At 40.9% G+C, this 21,697-nt stretch overlaps 1 protein-coding gene and 1 long non-coding RNA gene across 26 annotated transcripts in view; both read left to right on the top strand.

Annotated features, from left to right (window-relative positions):
• LOC112268248 (uncharacterized) overlaps positions 1–5,893 on the top strand; it is a 28,317-nt gene extending 22,424 nt beyond the window's left edge. For 16 of the 20 annotated variants that reach the window (XR_007067189.1, XR_007067191.1, XR_007067188.1 and 13 more), the window contains one exon: positions 1,588–2,129. This is a non-coding gene — a long non-coding RNA (uncharacterized LOC112268248). Of the gene's footprint in view, positions 1–1,587; positions 2,130–2,782; positions 3,813–5,610 lie in introns of those variants that run through there. The other 4 variants (XR_007067202.1, XR_007067193.1, XR_007067194.1 and 1 more) reach the window with 4 other exon arrangements.
• A 7,035-nt stretch (positions 5,894–12,928) lies between these two features.
• The window catches only part of ZNF208 (zinc finger protein 208), a 71,129-nt gene continuing 62,360 nt past the window's right edge, over positions 12,929–21,697 (top strand). For 5 of the 6 annotated variants that reach the window (NM_001329974.2, NM_001329971.2, NM_001329972.1 and 2 more), the window contains exon 1: positions 12,929–13,080. In NM_001329974.2, coding sequence (NP_001316903.1) covers positions 13,078–13,080 — 3 coding nt within the window. In that variant the 5' untranslated portion in view covers positions 12,929–13,077. Of the gene's footprint in view, positions 13,081–14,290; positions 14,385–21,697 lie in introns of all 6 variants that reach the window. The other variant, NR_138252.2, reaches the window with a different exon arrangement.

The raw sequence follows: 21,697 nt of genomic DNA, 5'->3' as shown, positions 1-21,697 counted from the left end.
ACTGCATTTAATGTTGCAGCTTGGGGAATTAAAAAAGGTTTTAATAGTTTATTTGCTCGGTTAGCTGAAATATAGATTAAAAGATGGCCCACTGTGAGGGACCTGGAAATGCCTGATATCCCTTGGTTTAATGTAGAGGGAGGAATCAAAAGGCTTAGGGAGATTGGGATACTGGAGTGGATTAGTCACTTTAGACCTACTAATTCTAGCAGGGAAGGTCCAGAAGATATACCCTTGACCATTGCCTTGCAAAATAGATTTGTGAAGGCAGCACCTGAATCTTTGAAGAACCTTATAATTGCTCTTCTCTGCATGTCGGATCTAACAGTGGGAACCCCGGTCACTCAACTACAAAATTTAAATACAGTGGGAATAATTGGATCCCATGGTGGCAGGGGCCAACCATCAAAGGCAAGGTGGGCATAGCTACTGTAATGGACAGCAGAGGCAAAATGGCAATCAGAATAGTCTGACTTGTGTAGAGTTCTGGCATTGGCTGATTCATCACGGTGTTCTTAGAAGTAAAATTGATAGGAAACCTACTGCATTCCTACTTAATTTATGCAAGCAGAAAAATTCTAGGTTGAATGGACAAAAGACTAATTTGAAACATAAAAACAGAGAATCATGGCCCCTCAATCAATTTCCAGACTTGAGCCAGTTTACAGACCCAGAACCCCTTGAATAAAGGGGAGGCCGGATTCCCTTGAGGAAAAACCCCACTACACTACTGACAATTTATGTAGTGAATCTTTCTCTCATCTTTCCCCAAGGATATCTCTGGCCTTTTATGAGGGTTATTGTGCACTGGGGAAAGGGAAATGATTGGACATTTTGGGGACTCCTAAACACTGGCTCTGAGCTGACATTGATTCCAGGGGACCCAAAACATCACTGTGGTCCTCCAGTTAAAGTAGAAGCTTATGGAGGTCAGGTACTTAATAGAAATTTAGCTCAGGTCCAACATGGTTGATCCAGTGGGTCCCAAGACTCATTCTGTGGTCATTTACCCAGTTCCAGAATGCAAAATTGGCATAGACATACTTAGCAGATGGCAGAACTCCTACATTGGCTCTCTGAGTAGTAGGGTGAGGGCTATTAGGGTGGGAAAAGCCAAATGGAAGCCATTAGAGCTGCCTCTACCTAGGAATATAGTAAATCAAAACCAATATTGCATCCGTGGAGGGGTTGCAGAGATTAGTGCCAGCATCAAGGACTTGAAAGACGCAGAGGCTGTGATTCCCACCCCATCCCGTTCAACTCATTTGGCAGGAGACAGATGGATTTTGGAGAATGACAGTGGATTATCATGAGGTTAATCAAGTGGTAACTCCAATTGCAGCTGCTGTACCAGATGTAGTTTCATTGCTTGAGCAAATTACCACATCTCCTGGTACCTGGTATGCAGACATTCACTTAGCAAATGCCCTTTTCTCAATTCCTGTCCATAAAGCCCACCAGAAGCAATTTGCTTTCAGCTGGCAAGGCCGGCAATATACCTTTACTATCCTATCGCTCTCTCTGGCTTTGTGTCATAATCTTATTCAAAGACACCTCTATCACTTTTTGCTTTTGCAAATACCACAGTGGTCCATTACATTGATGACATTATGCTGATTGAATCCAGTAAGCAAGAAATAGCAAACACACCAGACTTATTCATGAGACGTTTGCATGCCAGAGGATGGAAAATAAGTCTGACTAAAATTTAGAGACCTTCTAGCTCAGTAAAACTTCCAGGGGTCCAGTGGTCCAAGGCCTGTCAAGATAGTCCTTCTAAGGTAAAAGGTAAGTTGCTGCATTTGGCCCATCCTACAACCAAGAAAGAGGCACAATGTCTAGTGGGCCTATTTGGGTTTTGGAGGCAACCTATTCCTCATTTGGGTGTGTTACTCTGGCCCATTTATTGAGTGACCCAAAAAGCTGCCAGTTCTGAGTGTGGTCCAGAAAAGGAGAAGGCTCTGCAACAGGTCCAGGCTGCTGTGCAAGCTGCTCTGCCACTTGGGCCATATTACCCAGGAGATCCAATGGATCTTGAGTTGTCAGTGTAAAATAAGGATGCTATTTGTAGCCTTTGGCAGGCCCCCTTAGGTGAATCACAGCAGAGGCCTCTAGAATTTTGTTCTTTCTTTCTTTCTTTCTTTCTTTCTTTTTTTTTTTTTTTGATGGAGTCTTGCTCTTGTCATCTAGGCTGGAGTGCAATGGCATTATCTTGTCTCACTGCAACATCCACTTCCCAGGTTCAAGCAATTCTCCTGCCTCAGCCTCCTGAGTAGTTGGGATTACAGGCACCCACCACCATACCATGCCTGGCTAATTTTCATATTTTTAGTAAAGATGGGGTTTCTCCATGTTGGCCAGACTGGTCTCAAACTCCTGACCCCAGGTGATCTGCCTGCCTCGGCCTCCCAAAGTGCTGGGATTACAGGAATGAGACACTGTGCCTGGCCAGCCTGTAGGATTTTGTAACAAAGCCCTGCCATTTTCTGCAGATAACTACTCTCCTTTTGAGAGACAACTCTTGGCCTATTACTGGGCTTTGGTAAAAACTGAACTTTTGACTATGGGTTGTCAAGTCACCATGCGACCTGAACTGCCTATCATGAACTGGGTGCTTTCTGACCCATCTAACCATAAAGTAGGTCATGCAAAACAGCATTCCATCATCAAATGGAGGTAGTATATATGTGATTGGGCTTGAGCAGTTTCTGAAGGCACAAATGAGAAAGTGGCTCAAATGCCCATGGTCTCCACTTCTGCCATCCTGCCTTCTCTCCCCCAGCCTGCACTGATGACCTAAGGGGGAGTTCCCTGTGATCATTTGACAGAGGAAGAAAAGACTATGGCCTCGTTTACAGATGATTCTGTATAATAAGCAGGCACCACCTGAAAGTGGACACAGCTGCGGCACTACAGTTCCTTTCTAGGACATCCCTGAAAGACAGTGGTGAAGGGAAATCTTCCCAGTGGGCAGAACTTTGAGCAGTGCACCTGGTTGTGCACTTTGCATGGAAGGAGAAATGGCCAGATGTGTGATTACATACTGAATCATGGGCTTTAGCCAATTGTTTGGCTGGATTGCCAGGTACTTGGAAGAAGCATGATTGAAAAATTGGTGACAAAGAAATTTGGGGAAGAGGTATGTGAATGAACCTCCTGAGTGGTCAAAAACTGTGAAGATATTTGTATCCCATGTGAGTGCTCACCAATGGGTGACCTCAGCAGAGGAGATTTTTAATAATCAAGTGGATAGGATGACCTGTTTTGTTGACATCACTCAGCGTCTTTCCCCAGCCACCCCGTCATTGCCCAATAGGCCCATGAACAAAGTGGTCATGGTGGCAGAGATGGAGGTCACAAAGTGACAAAGTGCTGAATGAAATGGTGGTATACTTTGGAATGACAGTTCGGGTCTGCAGAGACCAGAGGTAAATGTAACAGCAGCAGAGAGGCTGCAGTGCCACAGACAGGGAACAGGTGTAGCAAGTGAAGACTATTAAGAAGAAAGACAAATAAACTTCTTTAACTAAAAAAAAAAACACCAAATTTCAGACAAGACACATACTAAGAACATGTTCGAAAGACTCCCAGAATCTCTAGCAAAGACAATTGTTTTCAGACTATACCAGGACAAAGCTACATGATAAAAGATCGTGACAGCTAGCTTTTTAAAAAATGTCCAAATATCAATTAAAGATTACAATGTATACAAAACAGGGCAATACATTCCCATCCAAAATATCATAAAATTTTCAGAAAAAAAACCTTAAAAAAAGAAAATAAATTGGGCCGGGTGAGGTGGCTCACACGTATAATCCCAGCAGTTTGGAAGGCAGCGATGGGTGGGTCACTTGAGCCTAGGAGACCAGCGTGGGCAACATGGCGAAACCTGGCCTCTACTAAAAATTTGTAACAATGCTGCAATTATTATGAGTATGTAAATAATTCTTCATATGACTATATATGTTAAATTTTATATATGTGCTGCATTGGTTTTTATTAGTCTACATTTTTACTTTTATACTCACACCAAATTGTTTTAATTTTGTAGATTTGTAATGAGTTTTAAAATCAGGAACTGTAATGCCTTTAACATTATTTCTTTTTTTGAAGATTATTGGGTATTTTATTGTCTCATTAGATTCCGTATACTTTTGGAGTTGCTGTTTCTGTTTCTTCAAAATGTAGTGTGAACTTTTAAAGAACATCCCATTGAATCTGTAGTTTACATTGAAGAGTATGGATATCTTCAAAATATTTATCTCAACCTTTGAACAGGAGCATGCTCCTAAGTGTGTTAATTTCTATACATTTATAACTTTTTCAGTTTTTTTCTATTATTGTTTCATGCTCTCATTTCATTTTGGTCATAGAAAGTAATCCATATAAATTTAGTTTTAAAAATTATGTTAAGACTTCTATTTTGGCCTAACAGATGGTCTATCAAGGACAATGTTTTATGAGCTGTTGGGAAGGCTGTGTATCCTGATGTTGTTGAGGAGTGTTCTCTGTACCTCTGTTAGGAATGATTGTTTTATACTTGTCTTCAAGTTCTCTGTTCTCTTACTATTATGCTGTCTTGTTTTGTTTTTATTATACAAATTGGGGTATGGAAATATGCTACTGTAGGCTGGGTGCAGTGGCTCATGCCTGTAATCCCAGCACTTTGGGAGGACAAGGCAGACAGATGATGAGGTCAAGAGATGGAGACCATCCTGGCCAACATGGTGAAACCCCGTCTCAACTAAAAATACAAAAATTAGCTGGCTGTGGTGGCATGCACCTGTAGTCCCAGCTACTTGGAAGGCTGAGGCAGGAGAATCTCTTGAACCTGGGAGGCAGAGGTTGCAGTGAGCCGAGATCACACCACTGCACTCCAGCCTGTCAACAGAGCAAGACTCCATCTCAAAATAAATAAATAGATAAATAAATAAATAAATAAATAAACAGCTAAAGTAACATTATTTTGACCTCTTCTGCTCTAATTTAATTAATATTTGCATGGAATATCTACATCCATCCTGCTATTATCAGTCTTTTTTATCATTAGATCTCTGATGACTCGATTATAGAAAGGCAAGTTGGATCTTGGTTTTTAAAATTATCTAATTCCTTTATTACAAGTATGTCTCTTAATTGGAAAGCTCATTTTATATACATGTTTAAATAATTTTCTGAAACAGAAAGACTTAGTAATGTTATTTTATTGTTTTATTTGATTGTTGTATCTTCGTCTCTAATTTTCTCTCTTTGTGTCTTCCTTTGTGTCATTTTGATTTTTGTACTGATATGCTTTTAATTTTTTCTTATTTTGTTTTGCATATCTATACAGATTACAGTTTTTTTGTGGTACCTTGTGGTACCTTGGAAATTACACAAAACCTCTAAAAGATATAACAATATATTTTAATCTGGTAGAAGATAAATTTCAGTTGCATACAAAGATTTTACTCTCAAAATTTTAATAATTTTCTAAATTTTTTTCAAATTACAGACAATACTTAAAAATGTTTTCTGCACCATTATGATTATGCTAAGAAATTTCATTTTTTTGTATGTGCATGTCTATCCAAGAAAGTAATCCTTTTTTTTCTTTTCTCTTTTGGCCAGATGCAGTGGCTCATGCCTGTAATCCCAGCACTTTCGGAGGCTGAGGTGGGCAGATCAGGAGGTTAGGAGTTCGAGACCAGCCTGGCCAACATGGTGAAATGCCATCTCTACTAAAATTTTAAAAAATTAGCTAGACGTGGTGGCAGGCACCTGTAATCTCAGCTACATGGGAGGTTGAGGCAGGAGAATTGCTTGAAACTGGAAGGCAGGGGTTGCAGTGAGCTGAGATCAGGCCACTGCATTCCAGCCTGGACAACAAGAGTAAAACTCCATCTCAAAAAAATTTGTTTATATATATGTTTATATGATTATGTGTCATTTTCTTGAGTCATTTTATTTTAAGTAAAAGAAACTGCCTTCAGCATTCTTTTTTTTTTCTTTTTTATTATTACACTTTAAGTTCTGAGACACATGTGCACAATGTGCAGGTTTGTTACACAGGTATACATGTACCATGATGGTTTGCTGAACGCATCCACCCATCATCTACATTAGGTATTTCTCCTGATACTATTCATCTCCTAGCCCCCCTCAATCTGACAGGTCCCAGTGTGTCATATTCCCCTCCTTGTGTCCATGCATTCTCATTGTTCAACTCCCACTTATGAGTGAGAACATACAATGTTTGGTTTTCTGTTCTTGTGTTAGTTTGCTGAGAATGATGGTTTCCAGCTTCATCCACGTCCGTGCAAAGGACATGAACTCGTCCTTGTTTATGGCTGCATAGTATTCCATGGTGTATATGTGCCACATTTTCTTTATCCAATCTATTACTGATGGGCACTTGGGTTGGTTCCAAGTCTTTGCTATTGTGAATAGTGCTGCAATAAACATACGTGTTCATGTGATTTATAATCTTTTGGGTATATACTCAGTAATGGGGTTGCTGGGTCAAATGCTATTTCTGATTCTAGATCCTTGAGGAATTCTCACACTGTCTTCCACTATGGTTGAACTAATTTACACTCCCACTAACAGTGTGAAAGTGTTCCTATTTCTCCACATCCTCCCCAGCATCTGTTGTTTTCTGACTTTTTAGTGATTGCATTCTAACTGTCATGAGATGGTATCTCATTGTGGTTTTGATTTGCATTTCTCTAATGACCAGTGATAATGAGCATATTTTCATATGTTTGTTGGCTGCGTAAATGTCTTCTTTTGAGAAGTGTCTGTTTATATCTTTTGCCCACTTTTTGATGGAGTTGTTTGTTTTTCTGCTGTAAATTTGTTTATGTTCTTTGTATATCCTGGATATTAGCCCTTTGTCAGATGGATAGATTGCAAAAATTTTCTCCCATTCCATAGGTTGCCTGTTCACTCCAACAATAGTTTCTTTTGCTGTGAAGAAGCTCTTTCGTTTAATTAGGTCCCATTTGTCAAATTTGGCTTTTGTTGCCATTGCTTTTGGTATTTTAGTTATGAAGCCTTTGCCCATGTCTATGTCCTGAATGGCATTACCTAGGTTTTCTTCTAGAGTTTTTATGGTTTGGGGTGTTACATTTAAGTCTTTAATCCATCTTGAGTTAATTTTTGTATAAGGTGTAAGGAAGGGGTCCAGTTTCAGTTTTCTGCATATGGCTAGCCAGTTTTCCCAACACCATTTATTAAATAGGGAATCCTTTCCTCATTGCTTGTTTTTGTCAGGTTTGTCAAAGATCAGATGGTTGTAGATGTGTGGTGTTATTTCTGAGGCCTCTGTTCTGTTCCATTGGTCTGTATATCTGTTTTGATACCAATACCATGCTGTTTTGGTTACTGTAGCCTTGTACAATAGTTTGAAGTCAGGTAGTATAATGTCTCCAGCTTCGCTCTTTTTGCTTAGGATTGTCTTGGCAATGCAGCCTCTTTTTTGGTTCTATATGAAATTTAAAGTAGTTTTTTCTAATTCTGTGAAGAAACTCAGTGGTAGCTTGATGGGGACAGCATTGAATCTATGATCCAAATATGCTCAATTAGAAATAAAAGATCATTCAAAGCTACCATGGAATACCTTTACATGCTCAAACTAGAAAACCTAGAGGAGTTCGATAAATTCCTGGAAATATACAAACCTCCTAGATTAAACCCGGAAGAAATAAAAGCTCTGAACAGACCAATAACAAGTACCAAGATTAAACTAGTAATAAAAAATTGCCAGCTGGGTGCAGTGGCTCATGCCTGTAATCCTAGCACTTTGGTAGGATGAGGTGGGTGGATCACTTGAGGTCAGGGGTTTGAAACCAGTCTGATCAACATGGCAAAACCCCATCTCTACTAAAAATACAAAAATTAACCAGGCATGGTGGTTTGTGCCTGTAATTCCAGCTACTCGGGAGGTTGAGGAAGGAGAATCACTTAAACCCAGGAGGCAGAGGTTGCAGTGAGTCAAGATTACACCACTGCACTCCCGCCTGGGTGACAGAGCAAGACTCAAGAAAAAAAAAAAAAAGCCAACAAAAAAAGTCCAGGACAAGATGGATTCGTAGCTCAATTCTATCTGACATTCAGATAATTGGTACCAGTCCTACTGCAACTATTCCAAAAGACAGAGAAAAAGGGAATCCTTCCTAAATCATTCTATGAAGCCAATATCACTCTAATACCAAGATCAGGAAAAGACATAATAAAAGAAAACTGCACACCAATGTTCCTCATGAGCATAAATGCAAAAATCTTCAATAAAATACTAGCTAACCAAACACAGCAGCATATTAATAAGATAGTACACCATAATCGAGAACATTTTATGCCAGGGATGCAGAGATGATTTAACATAGGTAAGTCAATACATGTTTTACACCAAATAAACAGAATTAAAACCAAAAACTACATGATTATATCAATATAAGCAGAAAAATCATTTGGCAAAATCCAGCATCCCTTTATGATTAAAATCCTCAGCAAAATCGGGATAGAAGGAACATATTGTAAGGTCATAAAAGCCATCTATGACAGGCCAGGCGTGGTGGCTCAAGCCTGTAATCCCAGCACTTTGGGAGGCCGAGGTGGGCAGATCACCTGAGGTCAGGAGTTTGAGATCAGCCTGGCCAACATGGTGAAATCTCGTCTGTTCAAAAATACAAAAATTAGCCAGGCATGATGGCGGGTGCCTAGTGGTCCCAGCTACTGGGGAGGCTGAGGCGGGAGAATCACTTGAGTCCAGGAGGCAAAGATTGCAGTGAGCGGAGATCCTGACATTGCACTCCAGCCTGGGCTGAGTGAGACTCTGTCTGGAAAAAAAAAAAAAAAAAAAAAAAAAAAGCTCTCTATTATAAACAGCCAACATTACACTGAACGGGAAAAAGTTGAAAGGATTTTTTCTGAGAACTGGAACAAGACAATAATGCCCACTCTCACCACTTCTATTTAACACACTAATGGATGTCTTAGCCAGAGCAATCAGAGTAAAGCAAAAAATAAACAGCATCAGCTGGGCGTGGTGGCTCACGTCTGTAATCCCAGCACTTTGGGAGGCCCAGGCGGGCAGATCATGAGGTCAGGAGTTCAAGAGCAGCCTGGCCAACATGGTAAAACCCCGTCTCTACTAAGAATACAAAAATTAGCCGGGCATGGTGTCGAGTGGCTATAATCCCAGCTACTAGGGAGGCTGAGACAGGAGAATCACTTGAACTCGGGTGGCAGAGGTTGCAGTGAGCCGAGATCATGCCACTGCACTCCAGCCTGGGAGACAGAGTAAAACCTTGTCTCAAAAAGAAAAAAAAAACAACTTTTCAATCTGATACATAAATTCAGTAAAATTTCAGGATACAAAATGAATGTGCACAAATTGGTGGCACTGGTGTACACTAACAGTGACCAAACTAATAATTAAATTAAGAACTCATCATTTAAAAATAGCTGCAAAAAAAAAAGTTAGGAATATGTCTAGCCAAAGTGGTGAAAGATCTTTACAAGAAAAACTACAAAACGTTGCTGAAAGAAATCATAGACAACAAAAACAAATGGAAATGTATTTCATGCTTATGGATGAGTAGCGATTTTACTCTGACAATGATCAACCTACCAAAAGCAATCTACAAATTCAATGTGATTTCCATCAAAATAACATTATTATTCTTCACAGAACTAAAAAAAAAACCTAAAATTTATATAAATTAAAAAGAGAGCCTCCATAGTCAAAGCAACACTAAGAAAAATAAAACAAAACAAAACAAAACCAAAAACACACACAAAAAAATCTGAAGGCATCACATTATCTGACTTCAAACTATACTACAAGGCTATAGTTACCAAAACAGCATTGTATGGGTATAAAAATAGACATGTAGCCCAATGAAACAGAATAGTGAAATCAGAAATAAACCCAAATACTTACAGCCAACTGATCTTTGACAAAGTAAACAAAGATATAAAGTGGGGAAAGAACACCCTATTCAATAAATGGTGCTGGGATAATTGGGAAGCCACATATTGAAAAATAAAACTAGATCTTCAGCTGGGCGCAGTGGCTCATACCTGTAATCCCAGCACTTTGGGAGGTCGAGGTGGTTGGATCATGAAGTCAGGAATTCAAGGCCAGCCTGGCCAAGATGGTGAAACTCTGTCTCTACTAAAAATACAAAAAAAAAAAAAAAAAAATTAGCCAAGTATGGTGGCGGGTGCCTGTAATCCTAGCTACTCGGGAGGCTGAGGCAGAGAATTGCTTGAACCCAGGAGCCAGAAGTTACAGTGAGCTGAGATCACGCCACTGTACTCCAGTCTGGGAACAGAGCGAGACTTGTCTCAAAAAAATAAAAAAAAATAAAAAAAAACGGATCTTCATCTCTCACCTTATACAAAAATCAACCCAAGATGGATCAAATACTTTAATCTAAGACCTGAAACAACCCGAATTCTAAAGCATTGAAAAAACTCTTCCAGGCATTGACTTAGGCAAAGAGTGCATGACCAAGAATCCCAAAGCAAATGCAACAAAAACAAAGACAGATGGGACTTAAAAAATTCTCAAAAGAAGATACACAAATGGCCAACAAACATAGAAAAAAAAAATACTGAACATCACTAATGATTAATGACCAGGGAAATGCAAATCAAAACCACAATGTGATACCACCTTACTCTTGCAAAAATGACCATGATTGGCCGGGCATGGTGGCTCATGCCTGTAATCCCAGCACTCTGGGAGACCGAGACAGGTGAATCACCTGAGGTCAGGAGTTCCAGACCAGCCTGGCCAACATGGCAAAACCACGCCTTTACTAAAAATACTAAAATTAGCAGGGCGCGATGGCGTGTGTCTGTAATGCCTGCTACTCGGGAGGCTGAGGCTGGAGAATCGCTTGAACCCGGGAGGCGGAAGTTGCGGTGAGCCGAGATCGCACCACTGCACTCCAGTCTGGGCGACAGAGCGAGACTCCATCTCAAAAACAAACAAACAGAAAAGACCATAATTAAAACATCAAAAAATAGGCCAGGCACAGTGGCTCATGCCTGTAATCACAGCAAACTCCATCACAAAAAAAAACTCCATCTCAAAAAAAAAAAAAAAAAAGAAATAGGGGATAAAAACCCAAATATTGTATGTCCTCACTTATAAGTGGGAGCTAAGCTATGAAGATGCAAAGGCATAAAAATTATATAATGGGTCTGAGTGCGGTGACTCACGCCTGTAATCCCAACACATTGGGAGGCAGAGGCGGGCGATTACTTGAGGTCGGGAGTTCAAGACCAGCCTGACCAACATAGAGAAACCCTGTCTCTACTAAAAATACAAAATTAGCCGGGCATGTTGGGGCATGCCTATAATCCTAGCTACTTGGGAGCGCTGAGGCAGGAGAATCGCTAGAACCTGGGAAGTGGAGGTTGTGGTGAGCCGAGATCACACCACTGAACTCCAGCCCAGGCAACAAGAATGAAACCCTGTCTCAGAAAATAAATAAATAAATAAATAAAAGAATTATATAATGGACTCTGGGCACTCAGTGGGAAGGGTGGGAGAGGGGGTGAGGGATGAAAGACTACACATTGGGTACAGTGCACACTGCTTGGGAGATTGGTGCACGTAAATCTCAGAAATCACCACAAAAGAACTTATCCATGTAACCAAATACTACGTATACCCCAAAACTATTGAAATATAATAATTTAAGACAAAAATAAAAAGCCCCAAACTCCCATAAGTTTAAGGTTATATGCTTTGTCTTTTTTTTAAGAAAGGGTCTCACTCTGTTACCCAGAATGGAGTGCAGTGGCTTGATCAGGGCTCACTGCAGCCACAACCTCCTGGGCTCAGGCAATACTCCTACTTCAGCCCCTGAATAGCTGGTAACTACAAGTTCAGGTCACCATGCTAAATTAGCTGGGTGTGGTGGACGGCGCCTGTAATCCCAGCTACTCGGGAGGCTGAGGCAGAAGAATTGCTTGAACCCAGGAGGCGGAGGTTGCAGTGAGCTGAGATCATGCCATTGCACTCTAACCTGGTGGACAGAGCAAGACTCTGTCTCAAAAAACAACAACAACCATAATAATAATAATAATAATAATTTAAGGTTGTTTCAAGTTAAAAAAATCTATTAAAATAAAATAGAAAAAGTTAAAAAAATGTGAGATTATAAAATATATATGAAAATGTAGAGTGTTGGAAAAGTGACAAATTTGATGGATTTATTTATAAGGTTTTACTAAAATAAGTTTAATTTTTTTGTTTTGTTTTTTGAGATGGCGTTTCACTCTTGTTGCGCAAGCTGGAGTGCAATGGCCCAACCTCGGCTCACTGCAACCTCCACCTCCTGGATTCAAATGATTCTCCTGCCTCAGCCTCCTGAGTAGCTGGGATTACAGGCGCCCACCACCACGCCCGACTAATTTTTGTATTTTTAGTAGAGAAGGGGTTTCACCCTATCGACCAGGCTGGTCTTGAACTTCTGACCTCCAGTGATCCGCCCTCCTCGGCCTCCCAAACTGTTGAGATTAAAGGCGTAAGCCATCGCGCCCGGCCTTTAGTATTGATAACACACTATGACTAAAGTAAAAATTAATTTACTCTGGAACAAAAGTTTTATGTATTATTAACATGGCAGTAAAATATATTCGTTCACATTTCGAATACATTTAAAAAGAGAGAGAGTAAAGAAGAGATAGAATATTCGCATGCTCTGGGGTGGGCCTGGCTCAGCTCAGGGAGGAAGCCCTGCCTGAAAGGTTGCAGCCTACGCTGGCTCTCTTTCTTCATTCAGCCCAGCATCTGATCACATCTTCTGTCACTCAGGGCCTGAAAGGGCGGGGCCTTAAACATTATCCAATCAGGGATGCTGGGCTGGGAACGTCCAATCAGGCAGGCAGCTGGAGGGGACAGGTCGGCTTCCGGGATGTGGTCGGTCCTTTGTCTCTCGCTGCAGCCGGAGGTCAAGGTCTCGTCCTTACTGCTGTGTGTCCTCTGCTCCTAGAGTCCCAGCCTCTGTGGCCCTATGACCTGCAGGTATTGGGAGATCCACAACTAAGTCGCCAGGACCCCCTGGAAGCCTAGAAATGGTGAGTGTGCCGGGTCCGACACACTGAGAGAGTGGCCCGGGCTGCTTGGAACCGGTGGGAAGTGGCTGTGGCGGGACTCAGGCCTCCCCGCAGTCAGCTCCACATCTGTGCCCCGAGTTCTTGCCTAGCTCGACCTCAGTCCGGTTCAGCCATAAGATGGAGGCTGCGCTGACACCCGGTCCCCGGGCGTCCTGTCTCTTCCCTGCGCTGTGATTGTGCCCTGGCCTGGAGCCCTCTTGGGGCCGCTCTGCACCCGCAGCGCGGAGTCTCTCCCAGATGTGCAGGGACCATGAGAGGGTCGTGAGAGGAGAATCCTGACTTGGGGTGTGGGTTCATGAATGGGAAGAGCTTTGGTCCGTGAGGCTCCCAGTTCCTGTTTTCTCCTATTAAAAATTTATGGAAGTCACCTCAAAAATATTAAAGAATTTAATCAAAGAGTGATTCCAAAATTGTAGAGCACCCAGCTATGGGTTGTAGTTAATGGTCTATTGAAGGGGTTTGACGGAAAGAGTTTTATAAGGTGCATAACGAGGAAAACCACATTCAATAATTGGTTAGGTACAGTTACGTAGTTTCTTGTTTTGTTTTATTTATTTATTTATTTTTGAGACGGAGTCTTCCCTCTGTCGCCCAGGCTGGAGTGCTGTGGCACGATCTTGTCTCACTGCAAGCTCCGCCTCCCGGGTTGACGCCATTCCACTGCCTCAGCCTTCCGAGTAGCTGGGACTACAGCCGCCCGCCACCACGCTCGGTTACTTTTTTGTATTTTTAGTTGAGAAAGGGTTTCACCATGTTAGCCAGGATGTTCTCGATCTCCTGACCTCGTGATCCGCCCGCCTCGGCATCCCAAAATGCTGGGATTATAGGCGTAAGCCACCGCGCCCGGCCTTGTGGTTTCTTAATTTGTAACATCAAGATGGAAGTTTCTTGGTTATGTAATCAGAGGTTAATTGGCAGTTTATAGTGTGTTAAGCCTGAAATTTTTTCCCCCAATGTAGTAATTTACAAAAAATGCATTTGAATTAGATTTTTTTTTTTTTTTTTTGAGACCAAGTCTCACTCTGTCGCCCAGGCTGGAGTGCAGTGGCGCCATCTGGGCTCACTGCAATCTCCGCCTCCCAGGTTCAAATGATTCTCCTGCCTCAGACTTCCAAGTAGCTGGGATTCCAGGCATGCACCACCATGCCCTCTAACTTTGCATTTTTAACAGGGACGGGGTTTCACCATGTTGGTCAGGCTGGTCTCGAACTCCTGATTTCAAGTGATTCACCTGCTTCGGCCTCCCAAAGTGCTGGGATTACAGGGTAAGCCACCGTGCCTGGCCGAATTAGATTTTTTAAAAGTAGAAATTAGAAACTAGAGCCTCCTCAGTCTAACTGCCAGCCACTTAATTATTTTCACACCCCACAAGGAATTGCTGTTTCCTTGCATTTTTCACATGTGTCCCAAGCAGGACCTCAAGTCTATCTGCCACCCCCTATTTCTCCAGCCTGACTCTGGCTTGCAGTAAAATACTTAATTTCCAGTTCCTTCTGACATTCCCAAACGCCAATTTCCCCTCCCTTATTCACATGATCAACTATTTGTCCTTTAGTTTACATTTTGATACCTATTGTAATCATTTTTTGACAAAGCATTTGATGGCACATTTAAAAAGATTTGTTTTCTGTTTGTAAATATTTTTTCTTCTGTTTTCCGTAGACATAGATATCAGAATGTTTTGGGTCAAGGTTTCCCTTTGGAAACTTTATAGGGAGATGTGTCCTCAGACACCCTTCAGTTTTTTCTTGGACCTGAGATTCAGTACTATCTGGGGAAAAACTAAGATACCCGCCATGGCTATGTCTGCGAGAGCGTCTAGTGAATATCAGCTCCTGGGTCATTTTCTCCCATAAGACAACCTGAGGTACACAGTGTAGCCTCTCTTCTCCCATAACACAACATGAGATATGGAGTGTAGCCTCTCAAGAGAGCAGGTGAATACCCTGGGGCTGAGAGGCATCTTCTGGTGTGCTGTTTTTTTGGAAAGCTAACCCCTTGAGATATTAGTGTTGTCTTTACCCAACGCAGCTTCCATTTCTTGGAGACATATTGCTGTTCAGACAATCAGATGCTGGTATTGAAGGGGAAACCAAAATAATTTTTGCCCCTGGATTCTCTTAGGGGACAGAAAAATAGTGAAATAAAAATGGTAAAAAGTTTGTGAAAAAAAATAGCACTCCAAAGACAAAAAAAAAAACTGACCCCAGTGAGATGGTGCAAGAACTTGCAAAGTAAAATGTACCTGGGGCACTCACTGGGGCATAGTTCAGAGTCTCCTGAGAGAATGGTTACTGAGCACTTAAGTGAACAGGATGGGGTGGGAGAATCTCTCAAGTAATTGGATGGCCTGACTTGACACATGAGTCAGACATATCTGTACCTTGAAATGATTAAATGCATTGTTCACTTATTTTGACCTCAGTTTTTTTTTTCTTTTTTTTTTTTTTGAGATAGAGTCTCATTCTGTCACCCAGGCTGGAGTGCAGTGGTATGATCTCTGCTCACTGCAACCTCTGCCTCCCGGGTTCAAGCAATTCTTCTGCCTCAGCCTCCTGAGTAGCTGGGACTACAGGTGTGCACCACCACACCCGGCTAATTTTTGTATTTGTGGTAGAGACGGAATTTCACCATATTGACCAGGCTGTTCTCGAACTCCTGACCTTGTGATCTGGCTGCCTCAGCCTCCCAAAGTGGTGGGATTACAGGTGTGAGCCACCGCGCCCGGCCCTTTTTTTTTTTTTTTTTTAAGACAGTGCTTTCCTCTGTCACCCAGGCTGGACTGCAGTGGTGCAATCTCGGCTCACTGAAACCTCTGCATCACGAGTTCAAGTGATTCTTATGCCTCAGCCTCCCAAGTAGCTGGGACTACAGGTGCCTGCCACCACACCTGGCTACTTTTTGTATTTTTAATAGAGATGGGGGTTTGCCATGTTTACCGTGCTGTTTGAGCTCAAAATTCTGACCTCAAGTAATCTGCCTGCCTTGGCCTCCCAAAGTGCTGGGATTGCAGGTGTGAGCCCCTGTGCCCGGCTGACCTCAGTTTTTTAACTGTAAATTGCATTTTATTAGTAGGGCTTGAAAGGTAAGAAAATATTTACAAAGGGCATAAAAAAAGGTGAATTTCAAAAAACAATATCTAATTATATATTTTATTTGTTGAAAATTCTCATTCATCTTTTATTTTCTCAGAGTGAATTTAGGAGTTTTTTCAGGTGTTACTTTTTTTTTTTTTTTTTTTTTTTTTGGAGACAGAGTCTTGCTCTGTCCCCAGGTTGGAGTGCAGTGGCGGGATCTCACTGCAAGCTCCTCCTCCCAGGTTTACGCCCTTCTCCTGCCTTAGCCTCCCAAATAGTGGGAGCCCGCCACCACGCCCAGCAAATTTTTTTGTATTTTTAGTAGAGACGGGGTTTCACCGTGTTAGCCAGGATGGTCTCAATCTCCTGACCTCATGATCCACCTGCCTCGGCCTCCTAAAGTGCTGGGATTACAGGCATGAGCCACCGTGCCCGGCCCTCAGGTGTGTTTTTTATGGCTGAGTGATTTCAAATAGAATTCCATCTAGCTTTTAGAATGTTAGCTACTGAGGAAAAAAATAAAAATTTTTCTTCCATTTTGGCTATAGAGAATTAATATATTTCCACAAGAAAATGCGGTAGGTAATTGGTGAGTTACACAGATTCGTGAAAACATCAGTTTCTTTTCTTGCAGGGTGAATTTGCAAAAATAAATATCTTTGTTCTATATCCTGTTTTTCGATTTCTGAGTTTAATGGTAAATTTTATGTCATGAAACTTGGTACCTCCTAGAAGTGTTCCCATATAACTGTTTACCACATGATTTTTAATACAAAAAATAAAATAATGCTTTATTGTCCAAAAGAAATAAATACATTTGCTTCTCTTACTGAGGTACAAAAGGTAAGCACCTTAAAATTTTCTTATATGAACACTGTTTTTGAATCATTTTGCTGGATTTTTCAAACACAATTTCAAAAACTAAGTGAATGACTCTGACATGGTAAATTAAAGCTTGAGCCTAATGACTGCAAGCTAAGGTTAATTTTGAGCCAGCAGACGGAGGTTATTAAAGGCCCAGTTAGTTCCTTCTGGAAAGCCTTTCCTGCAGATGTCCCAGCCTGCTTACCGCAGCCATGGAAGAAGCCTCTATAGTGAGAGAAGCTACAGAGCCCTGGAAAGCTGGGGCCCCACAGGCAGATGCAGTTAAGGTTAAGATAGAAGAGGTTTGGGGGTGTCTTACGGAACCCTAAACCTAACCCTAAACTGAACCCTAGCCCTAAATTGTTAAACAGTAAATTGTTACTGTTTTGAGGCAGATTCGAGAGGTTTTAAAATAAACCAGTTAGACGTACATTAAAAAAAAAATTGAATTCCAAAGGAGTATTACAACAGGAGGAAGTACCAACTATAAGATCTTTAAGGATTGCAAAGATTAGGTAGAAAAGGGCTTTTTTTCCTAGGGAAAAGCAAATAAGATTAGAAAGAAGGTGAGGGGAATGTTTAAATGAAGGGTGAAATAATCAGATTTTAGATCAGAGAATGTTTTACCCTGAAGTCAGTGTGTTCTTAGGAGTGTTCTTCAGACACTGAATCTGCAGTAGCATAAAATGAGGTTGTATGGTGGCTCGGACTGAGAGTAGCTCAGAGTTCAGGAGCCTGTGGGAAGAAAATAAACTTAAGTTTGATTAAAAGGTATTTTATGTTGACCACTGAAGGCAAATTCAGCTGATTTTTTTAATGAGAAGAAGAAGAAAATATGCAGAGTGTTTTCCTGGTTGTGTAGTAGGTAAGAAAAGAGCACCATCTAAGTCATGATGAGAAGGGTTTTTCTTTTCATAAGTGTTCCTGGAGAACACAGAGGATAGAGAATTTTACTAATCCCGGCTATTTATTATCTATATGCTTCATCTTTTCCCACCTCTTTTCTTGGTTCTATACTTTTCTTCCATTTGACTTTTTGGGGGTTGTATATTTTATTTGAAGCCAGTAAGTATAACTAGTGTTCTGCTGAGTTCTGTGAGTAGCTGTATCAGGTTATTGAATTTCAAAAAGGTTATGGGAGTCCCCAATTTTTAAACAGTAGGTCAGAAGCATAGATGAGCCCATGGGGTTTGTGACTGGCATCTGCAGTGAGGACAATGTTGTGGGACTGAGCCCTGAATCAGGGTCTGTGCTGACTCTGGGTGGTGTCAGAATTCAAGTGTTAGACAATGAGTTGCTGTTGGAGAATTGTTGGTGTTCATCAAACTCTGCAGATTTGGTGCCAGAAGAAAGATATCACAGACTCCTGGCCTGGAATGAAACTCTGGGTGTCTGGGAATGGGAAGCTCTGATCTCCTCTACACAGGCTGTCACACTGCCCCTTGTTCTTTGATTTCAGATCTCCTCCCAGGGTGACAGAGGACTGAAAACTTAAAAGAGATCTGATGACAAACCCCCTTTTGCCACAGCTGCCAGCAGAGGATTTCTACCCACTCACAAACACCCACTTGACATTGATGTGTCCACACTCCTCTCTGGACAAGGCACCACCCTCAGGAATTTTACCACAGCATTTTTGATCCTAGTGGTTTTTTTGGCCAAAAACCACAAAAGTGTCTACAAGTCTCCTGGCATATCTCTATTTTCAGACACTGAATCTGCAGTAGCAACCTGTTTTCTCCACCAGCCTAGGGTTCATAATCTTATCTGCCTGCATGGACCCAGAAATAAATCAGAGTACAGCCCCACCTGGGCCACTATCTATAGGACAAACCAGTCCTTCCACCTGCATTGCACTCTCTCCAACCCAGGGACTTTGTTTTCTTTTAACTTTTATTTTTGGTTGGTTCAGGGGTACACATGCAGCTTTGTTATACAGCTAAAATTATGTCATGGGAGTTTGGTGTGCAGATTATTTTGTCACTGCAGTACTAATCATAGCACCAAAAAGGTACTTTTTCTGACCCTTTTAGTCCTCCCACCCTCCACCCTCTACTAGGCCTCAGTGTCTTTTTTCCCCTCTGTGTTCATGTGTTCTTATTTAGCTCTTACTTATAAATAATAACATGCATTTGGTTTTCTGTTTCCGCATCAGTTTTCTAAGAATAATGATCTCCAGCTTCATCCATGTTGCTGCAAAGGACATAATCTTGTTTTTTTTGTTGTTGTTGTTTATGGCCACTCAGTATTTCATGAATTCATGGTGTTTATGTACCATATTTGTTTGTTTGTTTGGTTTGAGATGGAATCTTGCTGTGTCACTCAGGCTGGAGTGCAGTGGCTTGATCTCGGCGCATTGCAACCTCTACCTCCCAGGTTCAAGCAATTCTGCCACAGCCTCTGGAGTAGCTGGGATTACAGGCGTGTGCCACCATACTCAGCTAATTTTTGTATTTTTAGTATAGATGGGGTTTTGCCACGTTGGCCAGGCTAGTCTCGAACTCCTTACTTCAGGTGATCTGCCGCCTTGGCCTCCCAAAGTGCTGGGATTACAAGTGTGAGCCACCATACCCAGCCCATATTTTGTTTTTATTAAGTTTATTAATAAAGTTTTTAATTTTTTTGTTATTTTTGGAGACAGGGTCTCACCTTTTTCCCAGGCTGGAGTGCAGTGGTGTGATCTTGGCTCACTGAAACCTCAACCTCTCAGGCTCAAGCAATCCTCTTCTACCTAAGCTTCCCAAGTAGCTAAGACTAAAGTCTGTGCCACCATGCTTAGCTAATTTTTATTTTTGTACTTTTTTTTTTATAGATGGGATTTTGCCATGTTGTCCATGCCTGTCTCAAACCCCTGAGCTCAGGCAATCCACCTAGCTCATCCCCCGAAGTGCTGGATTACAGACGTGTGCCAACATGCCCAACCATACTATATTTTCTTTATCTAGTCTACCAGTGATAGGCATTTAGGTTGATTCCATGTCTTTGCTGTTGTGAATAGTGCTGCAATGAACGTGATTGTGCATGTGTCTTTAGGATAGAATAATTTATATATTTTTAGGTATATACCCAATTGTGAGGTTACTGGGTCAAATGGTAATTTGTTTTTAGTTTAGTGAGGAATCACCACACTGCTTTTCACAATGGTTGAATTATAATAATGGCCATTCTCACTGGTTTGAGATGATTTCTTGTTGTGGTTTTCTTTTGCATTTCTCTAATGATTAGTGATGAGCATTTTTTTACATGCTTGTTAGCCACATGTTTGTCTCCTTTTGAAGACAAACGTCTTTTTCATGTTTTTTTTTGGTCTTCTTTTTAGTTTTTTTTTCTTGTAAACTTGTTTTAGTTCCTTATGGATTCTAGATAGTAGACCTTTGTCAGAAGCATAGTTTGCAAATATTTTCTATTATTTTGTAGGATGTCTGTTTACTCTGTTGATAGTTTCCTTTGCTGTGAAAAAGTTTAATTAGGTCCCATTTGTCAGTTTTTGCTTTTGTTGCAATTGCTTTTCATATCTTCATCATGAAATCTTTGCCAGTTTCTATGTCTAGAATGGCACTTCTTACCTTCCAGGGTTTTTTAAAATATATCCTTTTTAAGATTAACATTTAAGTCTTTTATTTACCTTGAGTTGATTTTTTTATATGGTGTTATAAAAAATCTACTACATAGTGCTAGCTAGTTATTCTAGCACCATTTATTAAATAGGAAATTCTTCCCACATTCCTATTGTCACCTTTGTTGAAGATCAGATGGTTTTAGGTGTGTGGCATTATTTCTGGGCTCCCTATTCTGTTGCATTGACCTATGAGTTTGTTTTTGTACCAGTACCATGTTGCTTTGTTTACTGTAGCACTGTTGTGTAGTTTGAAGTCAGGTAATGTAATGCCTTCAGCTTTGTTGTTTTTGCTTATGATTGCCTTGGCTATTCAGGCTCTTTTTTGGTTCCATGTGAATTTTAAAATAGTTTGTTCTTTTAGTTCTGTTAAAAATATTTTGGTGGTTTGATTAAATTAGCATTACATCTGTAAATTTATTTAAGCAGTATGACCATTTTTATGATAGTGATCTTTTTTATTCATGAGCATAAAGTTGCTTTCCATTTGTTTGTGTCATCTCTGGCTTCTTTAAGCATTGTTTTGTAATTCTTGTCATAGAGATCTTTTACCTTTCTGGTTATCTGTATTTCTAGATATATTATTCTTTTCTGTGGCAGTTGTGAATGGGATTGTGTTTTCGATTCGGATTTGGCCTAGGTGTTCTTGATATATAGGGTTGCTACTAATTTTTGTACATTTCTTTTGTATCCTGAGACTTTACTGAAGTTGTTTGTCAGTTTAAAGAGCTTTTCTGCTGAGAGTATATGGGTTTCCAGATGTAGAATCATGTTGTTTGCAAATAAGGATAGTTTGACTTCCTCTCTTTATGTTTGGATGCCTTTTATTTTTATCTTTTGCCTGATTGCTCTGGCTAAGACTACCAATTTTATATTGAATATAGGAGTGTTGAGAGAAGGCATCCTTGTCTTGTGCCAGTTTTCAAGAAGGAATGCTTCCAGGTTTTGTCCATTCAGTATATTGGCTGTGGGTTTGTCATAGATAACTTACTATTTTGACGTATGCATCTTCAATGCCTAG

This window comes from Homo sapiens, chromosome 19, assembly GCF_000001405.40.
Source record: "Homo sapiens chromosome 19, GRCh38.p14 Primary Assembly".
NCBI lineage: Eukaryota > Metazoa > Chordata > Mammalia > Primates > Hominidae > Homo > Homo sapiens.
This window is presented reverse-complemented; position numbering and strand designations above follow the sequence as displayed.